Source organism: Homo sapiens, chromosome 11 (assembly GCF_000001405.40).
Source record: "Homo sapiens chromosome 11, GRCh38.p14 Primary Assembly".
Taxonomy (NCBI): domain Eukaryota; kingdom Metazoa; phylum Chordata; class Mammalia; order Primates; family Hominidae; genus Homo; species Homo sapiens.
In genome coordinates, this window is record NC_000011.10 from 30,313,907 (window position 1) to 30,322,718 (window position 8,812).

At 36.5% G+C, this 8,812-nt stretch overlaps 1 long non-coding RNA gene across 10 annotated transcripts in view, besides 1 other annotated feature; it reads right to left on the reverse strand.

Moving 5' to 3' along the window:
• ARL14EP-DT (ARL14EP divergent transcript) overlaps positions 1–8,812 on the reverse strand; it is a 279,977-nt gene that overhangs the window by 270,937 nt on the left and 228 nt on the right. For 5 of the 10 annotated variants that reach the window (NR_187431.1, NR_187433.1, NR_187435.1 and 2 more), the window contains exons 2-3: positions 7,664–7,813; positions 2,984–3,054 (exon numbers count right to left, since the gene is read on the reverse strand). The exons of 1 other annotated variant lie outside the window; for it this stretch is intronic. This is a non-coding gene — a long non-coding RNA (ARL14EP divergent transcript). Of the gene's footprint in view, positions 1–2,799; positions 3,055–7,663; positions 7,814–8,812 lie in introns of those variants that run through there. 4 more of the 10 variants (NR_187439.1, NR_187438.1, NR_187440.1 and 1 more) reach the window with 2 other exon arrangements.
• Positions 7,584–7,643: a silencer, noted in NCBI's record as "silent region_3214". NCBI's record gives its function as "represses an Ori minimal core promoter by ATAC-STARR-seq in GM12878 lymphoblastoid cells {active_cell/tissue: GM12878}" and the evidence as "EXISTENCE:reporter gene assay evidence [ECO:0000049][PMID:35858748]".

Here is an 8,812-nt window from a genome sequence, read left to right on the forward strand (position 1 = left end):
GAGGGAATAACCCAGAAAATTTTTGGAAAAAATTACAAAAACATTATAGATATTTTTGAGATTCCTTGAAAAAATGTCATTTGCATAAATGAATTAATATAAATTAAGCATAAATAAGGAATCTCAGCTCAGATGACCCTCCTCCAGGAACCACTCCAGATTCCCTTTATTGGTTTGGGTGCCTGTGTTCTATGCCCACTTACTGCCTCATGAATATGTCTAACACTACTGTTAACATTTTTGATCATCTGTTTCTGTGTCTGTCTCTTACGAATTCTTAGAGGACAAGTATGTAGTATATTCAGTTTTGTACCTCAAAATTTGAAGATACAGAAAACAAAGCAATAGTGAATGTGGAAATGTATTGAAGATTTTTGGAAGAATGAGTAGGTGATTACTTCAACTAACTGGCACTTGAATTTTATTTCTAAAACTCTCATTATAAAAAGTCATCATTTTCAACTTTCTTTTGAGTCAATGTACATTTGCCCTCTTACATAGCAACATCAAGTCATTAATGAGATAATCCCAAACCTTGTTATTACATCGTAACTTTCTCTTAGCAGTAATTATTGGAGGTGAGAGAATCTATATTAATTGACTTGATTATATATAATATTTAAAATCACCTAATTGACACAATTATTATAGAGAAAAACATGTGAAAGCCACATAAATAAACTCCGACTATGCTTAAGAACTGTCTAACCCAGCTCATTTGATAGCCTATTGACCAGTGAGTTAAACAAAACTCTAATTCAATGATAGCAGCATCCTCTGCCCTTTCCAAAAGTGCAGGACAGGATAATATTATCTCATGGTCAAGAAATGTATTAAATATGTGGAAAAATAAAATGTAAAAGAGCATGAGGAGAAACTTAGTGAAAATTAGCAAAACAATGTTCTGTTCTCCCTCTGCTGGCTTTTAGGCAGTATTGCTCTTCAAAGATCTGTCCAAAGGCCCATATGAAATTTTTTCAAGGAATCTCAAAAATATCTATAATGTTTTGTAATTTTTTCCAAAAATATTTAGAATGCTCATAATGTTCATCTAAATAAGCTCCACCAAAGCTAGAGCATCCCCACCAAAGCCATCATTACCTTCTCTTCTTATCACAGATAATGACTAATACAAAATAGATAGAACAAGTAGAATCTAGTGGCTTGACCAATTTTCCAAAAGAGCAATTCAAAAGAAGTAATTGATATTAATATTATAAATAGATATTATGTTTTCTAGTTTTCTAAGAATATGATTCTTACAGATTGAGATGCAGCCTGATTGAGTAGGAAAAACACTGCATTTTTAGAAAGACAACCTGGGTGTGAGTCTTGACTATCCCTATTACTTACTGGTTGTACAAGCTTTACAGATTGTCATTTATATGTTAGTTGTATAACATTACCATTTACGGAACTAAGTCTCATCAACCTCTAAATGAGGAAGCTATGCAACAGAATTGTTAAATCCTTTTCCAGTTCTAGTTTTTTTGTTCCCAGTGCTGTTGAATTATTAATTTTTAATAATTAATTTCTGCATTTAATTCACACCATTTTGGTCATTCGAAGATGTAACCAAAATGGTTCCTGTAACCATCAGCTTCCTTCCTTGACGTTGTGCCAAACACACTGTGGACACCCAGATGAATCCTAATTGACACAATAATGATTGTGATGGCAATAAAGAGCCCTGGGGTTTTTATTTGAGCCAAATTCTTTCCTAGTTATATGGCTAGTATTTTGAATAGCAGCTGTGAACAAATCTGTATTTCCTTCCCCTACGCCACCCCCACAACAGTCTGAAATCTTTACTTTAAATGAGACAAATCAGAAGAACTGCTGAAAAACACAGTTTCAATCTGTCCTTCTGCCCAGTCATTAGTTAAATCCCCTATATCACATTTCTTTAAATCAACTGACTCTTAAATATTGTTATAAGGAAAGCAAGGCCAAGGTGGGTGTGAGGTTAGGGGATACTAGTTCAAATAATGACTCCACTTCTTTTAAATTTAATACCCATCTTTCCAGATTGAAATATACCATGTCATGAATGAGATAATACATGTGAGCTTATCATTCCAGTGTTTTCAGACATAACTGGAGGTCCATAAATAGTAGCAAGAATAATTATAGCTACCACTTATTGAGAACTCACTATGTGCCAGGCACTATGCTAAACTATATATATAAAAAGTTATACACAAACACACACACATACACAAACACATATTCATTTATTCCCCACAAAAACCCTATAAGGCAGATGCTACTTTCTCTATTTTACAGATAAGAATTTGAAGCTTAGAGAATTAATGTAATTTCTACACATTATCCTACTAGTGGCTAAGCCAGGATTTGAACCAGGCAGTCTGATTCCAGAGCCCACTTAGAGTTTTGTTTCATGCCCCAAGGAGGATACTGAAGCTTTAGAAAGCAATTAGTTACGCACCCTCCAGAATAACTAAAATGAAAGCCAACAATAACAACTGAGAACTCCAAGTGGTGGTGAGTATGTTTATGAGTGTAAATTGGTGCTAGAAGGAATGTAAATTGATGCAACCACTTTGAAAAACTCTTCAGCAGTATGTACTCAAACTGAACATACACATTGCCTATAATCCAGCAATTCCACTCCCTACTACATATCCAAATGAAAGTGTAAATGTATGTGGACCAAAAGACAGAATGTTCAAATGTTTGTTGCAGCATTATTTGTAGAAGCCCCAAATTGAATGAACCCAATGTCCATCAACAGTGAAAGAGATAAAAGAAAATGTTGTCGGTTTCACGTAATAGAAATACCACTCAGCAATGACAAATATTTAATTGCTTACGATGTCATACAGCATCAATGAATTTCAAGGACATAATACTGACCACAAGAAGCCAGACACAAAAGAATATATGTGGTACAATTCCAAAGCTCAAAGTCCAGAAATAACCAAAACCAATCTATGGTCAAAGAAGTTAGAATGGTGGTTACCTTTGGTAAAAGGTGCTCACAACTAGGAGACAGCATACAAGAGACTTCTGGGGAGCTCATAATTTCTTGACCTGGGTAGTGGTTATACAAATATAAAAATGTATCAAGCTATAGACTTAGAACTTGTGTACTTCTTTGTGGTATGTCAAAATTCAGTATGAAAGCTTACACAAAGGAAATGAAAACAATTACTAAGAATTCATTCCCCTCATTCCCTTTCAGAGTACATGCCATCTCATCCCAAACTTGGGATTCTTGCATGCAAATGTTTCTCTTTTTTCCTAATTCTTGGCTCCTTTGCACTTTCCCAAGTGCGTTTAATGAGAAGCTGTGAATTTCTCACAGGAAACTACCTCACTAGCTGATATCCTAAACTTCAGTTCCACTCTCTGACCACAACTGTTCATTGTTTCAGTTTGATCACAGATTTCACCTCCTTGCCTTCAATTTTGATTTTGAAAGCTCCATTTCTTTTCATTCTCAACCAGCTTTCCCTCTTTCGTTCATTTGTTTATTTGAAGAGATTTATCACTTCAACAATTCCACTTACTCAACTAATAGTGCTAGGCTCCTGGAATACTATAGTAAATTAAACTGACCTTATGTCTTATCTCATGATTCTCACCATCTAATGACTTCCATGAAAAAACCCTAAACTCTCTTGTCTCTTGTCCTTCTTACACATCTAACCGTCAACTGCTCTTGCTTAAATTAATTCTGTTGTCTGCCTTCACTGGTCCCACACAAGGGCAACTATACACTAGGAGAAAAATTGAAATTTTCACATCATTAATTTATGTCTCTGCATATTCATGGTCTCTAACTTCATCTAGGTCCTAAATGCTGTTCTATGTCCCTAGCAAGCTTTCTCTTTATTTTTCCTAACCTCTAATTGAAATTTAGCATTTCATTTATTTACAAAAGGCAGGCAACAAATAATAGTATTAGCAGTGCCTATTAGTACTGCTGCAGTACTAATAACTTTGTTTACAGTGTCTATAACTTTGTCACCAACAGAAATCACATAATTTTTTGTGTCACATTATAGTTGTTACAGATATCTCAGGATATATTCATATTCATTACTACTTTGCAATTATGGTAGTTATTAGATTTGACACCAGACCATGCTATTGTATGCATTAGGATAAGTATTGTAGCATTTTAAAAAAATATGTTTTTTGACACTCCTCCCATCAAGAGGTAAAGATTATGTTTCTTTCCTGTGAATCTGGGGCAAGCTCAATGACTCCCACATAACCAAGAGAATTCAGTGGAAGTGACGCTATGTGTTTCCAGGGGCTAAGTCATGAAAGGCAAAGAGGCTTTCACCTTGCTTCCTGGAGCACAAACCCTGGGAGCTCTGAGACACCATGTAATAAATCCAACTACCTTCTGGCTGTCATGCTGTGAGGAAGACCAAACTAGCCTAAGCAAAGAGCCCACGTGGAGACAGAAAGAGAGAGAGAAAGACCAACCTGGCCCAGCTCCTACTGTTACTTTGATTGGTAGAAACAAATAAGTGCTTCTTACAAGGTCTGTCAATCTGCTCCTGCTTATGGGAAGACAAACTATTCCCAGCCCTGTGTAAGTACTAGAAACTGTTTGGCCCACTGCTTTTTGGTGTCTTTTCCCTAGCCTCGTGGAGTTTCATCCTTCCATTGCACAGATAAGTACTCAGAGCCAAAGGGAAGTACGCAATACAAAGGAACACTCTTGCAGATGTCCAAGACTCTCCTGTGTGCCATGTCCTCCTCTCAGATACTCTGCCCATCAGCCTCTCCAACTTCCCATCTCTGTCACCTCCATCTCTGTCGCCTCCATTTAGTGAAATCACCGGTTTTTGTTTGGGTTCCCCTCCCTGTTCTAGGCTCTGGACACTGCCTCCAGATAGTAAGCTGGGGTCATTATGGAACTTAATTCATTCGTTTCCCTTCTCTCAGGGATCACGATACTGCACTGCCTGTTGGCTAATGTCTGAAAACAATGATTTCATAGATACATACATATATGTGTATATGTATATATACAACCCTTTCCTAAATATGTATAAGTATACATACTTATGATTTATATGAATGTATATATGTGTGTATATATTATATATCTTATACATATTATATATTTATAATATATATTTTATATATGTATATAAAATATAAATATTATATTTTATCATATGCATATATTTTATATATCTATATATTTATATATTATATATAACATATTCAGTATATAAATATATATAAAATGATATATACATATCATATATTTTATATTATATATATGCGTAAATACATGTATGTAATATATAAAATATATATTTTTTTCAAGTGATACTCCCATCTCAGCTTCTCCAGTAGCTGGGACTACACTTGTGAGCTACCGTGCCCAATTCATTTCACATATTATGCTCAATTTTCCAGATATTTCTAGTGATAGGGTAATTCTGCAGAAGCAGAAATCCAAATGTAATTGCTAAAACCTAAATTAAAACTGAATTGTGTTCTTTAATCTTAAAATTCACATTCAAAGACACAAAAAAGGGGTGCCTCTTTATACTTGACAGTAAAGCTTGTTGAAGATGTTCTCTCAGGTAGCTGTTAGCATCTCTAACTTCCCGCTCTTTAATTGGGTATATTCTGACTTCTACCATCACCATATCACTGAAACAGGTCTTATTACACCATCTATAACTATCTTATTAGTACAGCTAAGGAATATATTTAGTTCTTTTTATTTTCCTTCTAGTTCATTTCAGTCTGAGCTGGAAAATGAGTTATTTCCTTACTTGACTTTCTACACCTGTGCTATCCACTCTGGTAGCCACTAGGCACATGCGGCTACTGAATATTTGAAGTGTAGCTAGACCAAATTGAGAGGCACTGGAGGTGTAATACACACACCAGGTTTCCAAGACATAATATGAATTAAAGGACGTGACATATCTCATTAGTTTTTATGTTAATTGCATGTTAAAATGATAATGTCTTAATTATTGGGTTAAACAAGCGCTATCTCTAAAATTAATTTCATCTGCTTCTGTTTACCTTTTTATATCACTACTAGAAAATTTACAATGGCTTATGTGACTCACATTGTATTTCTAATGGCCAGTACTGCTCTATAACAACCTCTTGCACCGACAGAGCCCTGCTTTAAACTTTCCTTTCTTGGTTTGTGGGTCTCTGTTCTTCCCTAGTTTTCTTGCTACCTCGCTGTCTGCTCCTTCTCAGACTTTTCTGAGACCTAAATCTGTTGTTCTAAAATCGTAGTGTGCTGCAAAATCACCTGGGTTGCTTGCCAAAAATGCAGATTCTTGGATCTTATCTGCAGATATTATGATCTGGTAGACTGGCTTGGAGGACCGAGATTCTGATTCAGTAAAATAGAACGAGAGCTCAGAAATTTAGAATAATCTTTAGCCCTATTCTTTCTCATTTTACCCTATACATTCCATAGGTATCATCTTCCCTATCCCACCCAGCTCCAAAGATAGAACTACCACTCACAGACTAACATCTCCCAAAACTCTTATCTTCCAGCTGAGATCCCTCTCTTATCCTGCCCTCTTCTTCCAGCTGCCAGCTGTATATCTTCACTTGGAGGTACATTTGATAAGTTTGAGAAAACTTAGCGTATTCAGTATTTAAATTCTTATCTCTGTTCTCCCTAGCCCATTCCTCCTTTTGACCTCCCAGTTATCCAAGCTAGAAACCTGAAATAATTATTTACTACTTCCTAACCTCTATATCTAATCAGTTAAAAAATCTGACCAATTCTTACTTAACTTCTATCATCTCTATGCCTTTTAAATGTCCTTCATTTAGGGTTTCTCAATCTTGGCTCTACTGAAATCTTGAGCCAGTTAGTTCTTTGTTGTTGGAGGAGGGAGGTTGTCCTGTGCATTGTTAAGTGTTTAGCAGTTACCCTGTCCTTTACCCCTCTAGATACTAGTAGCACCCCTTGCTGGTACAGCCACAATGTTTCTAGACATTACCAAATCCAGTGGGAGGAGGTGAGTGGGAGGGAATCACATTTCAACCCATAGAGCCACTGCCTCACTTGATGGAGGCCCTCTTCTTAATCATCTGCGTTAGGGCAAGAGTTTCCACCTGGCCCTCTAGCCCAGGACCGCACCTCTCTTCTATTCTCTACACTCCTGATAGTTTTACAGTTTTCACAGGTTAAAATTCAGTATCTCTAATATGGCATAAAAAGGGCATTATTTGTTACCTATGCGCCTTTCCAGCTTTCCACTCTACCCATACTGAAAGGCTTTGCAGTTTCCTTAGGGATGGATGAAAGGCGTAAGAAGTGTTAACTATAGACAGTAACTAAGCTAGTAGCTTATGAGATAAATGCAAAACTCCTAGCATATTTTAAATATAGAATATGAGTAAGCATGTACTTTGTGAAACATAGGCAGGATTATGTAAAATATATAGAGTAAGTTAGTAAACTATAAGACATGCCAAAGTTAAATAGAAATATGATGGAATAGAGAGTCACTGATAGCCAAAAAGGGATGGAAAAACTAAGCAATGAGCAATCATGACATCTCTGGGCTATTAACTATGTCACCTCTAAATCAGCCACCCATTGGTCACACTTAGAATAGTCTCATATGTGCTCTGCCCAGGAAATGCAAATAAAACCTGTATCTGTTCAACAACTTACCGAGTAAGCTCTGGCTGTGACCAGGCATACTTCTCTGCGTCTATCCAATAAAGCAGGTGTGTACCATTGGCCCAAAGCACTTTCCACCTGTGGGCCTCCTTGCTGACACCTCACCTCTGGTCCTCGTAAGTATACCACCAGCGGAGAAGGCTGTTGTGGCAGATAGGATATATGAACATTACTTAACCCATGATTCAGGTGATGGCGTCCTTCCACTTGCTTGCACCTTATCCTAAGTGTGTCCACTTACCACAACTCTTTCACCTTTTCACTGGATACTTAAATTGAATAGGCTATATTATTTAATAATCTTAATTTGATCTGTGAGCCTTCTCTGTTTCATTACCTTTAGGATAGCTTGCCTAGTTTACTAGGAAGTCACAATTGCATCAAATTAAGTTCCATGCAGGCATTAATCTCCTCCCAGAACGCTCCTGCTTTAGCCCCTATCATTTTATCCTGTTTATATCCATGTGTTTCTGTTATGACACTTTTCACACCACACTGTGATTAACTGTTTATTCCTCTCTCACTAGTCTGTGAGCTCCTTGGAAGCAGAAATAAATTTTGTTTTTGTCTAATCATTGCTTAACAAAGTGCCAACCACAAAGTAAACAGTAAAAGAATTACAGAATGCAACCTCCTGCAGACACAGTTGAAGAAACTATTCATTGTTTTTTCCTTTCTGTCATTCCCTAGTTCTAGGCATCAAATCGCTTGCCTAGTCGGCGAGCAGTATGAAAGTGGTGGGAGGACCATAGACGCACTGCAGAAAACAGCTTACAGTAGATGCAGAGAATTACTAGCACGCTTGGGCCTTGGTGGGGCTTGTCTTATTTACCTGTTCCTCATTTTTCACTGGGAGTTTAAAACAAGTTTTTGTTTCCCTGCTATCCCGACCTTAAGATAATTAAAAGGCCAAGAATCTTTAAGAGACTTTCAGTTCTCCTGGATTCTAGATAATAAAACCCACTTTAAAAATTAATGAGCACCTATACTGTGACAGACAATAAGGATACAATAAAAATACCATTTCTGTTCTGAGAAAATTTACAAGCATCTTCCTGGAGCCTACATTTTACTCGAAGTAATAGCTATTTTTATAGCTTACAATAAAAGATGCATTTTGGAATATATTTCGCTTGAATT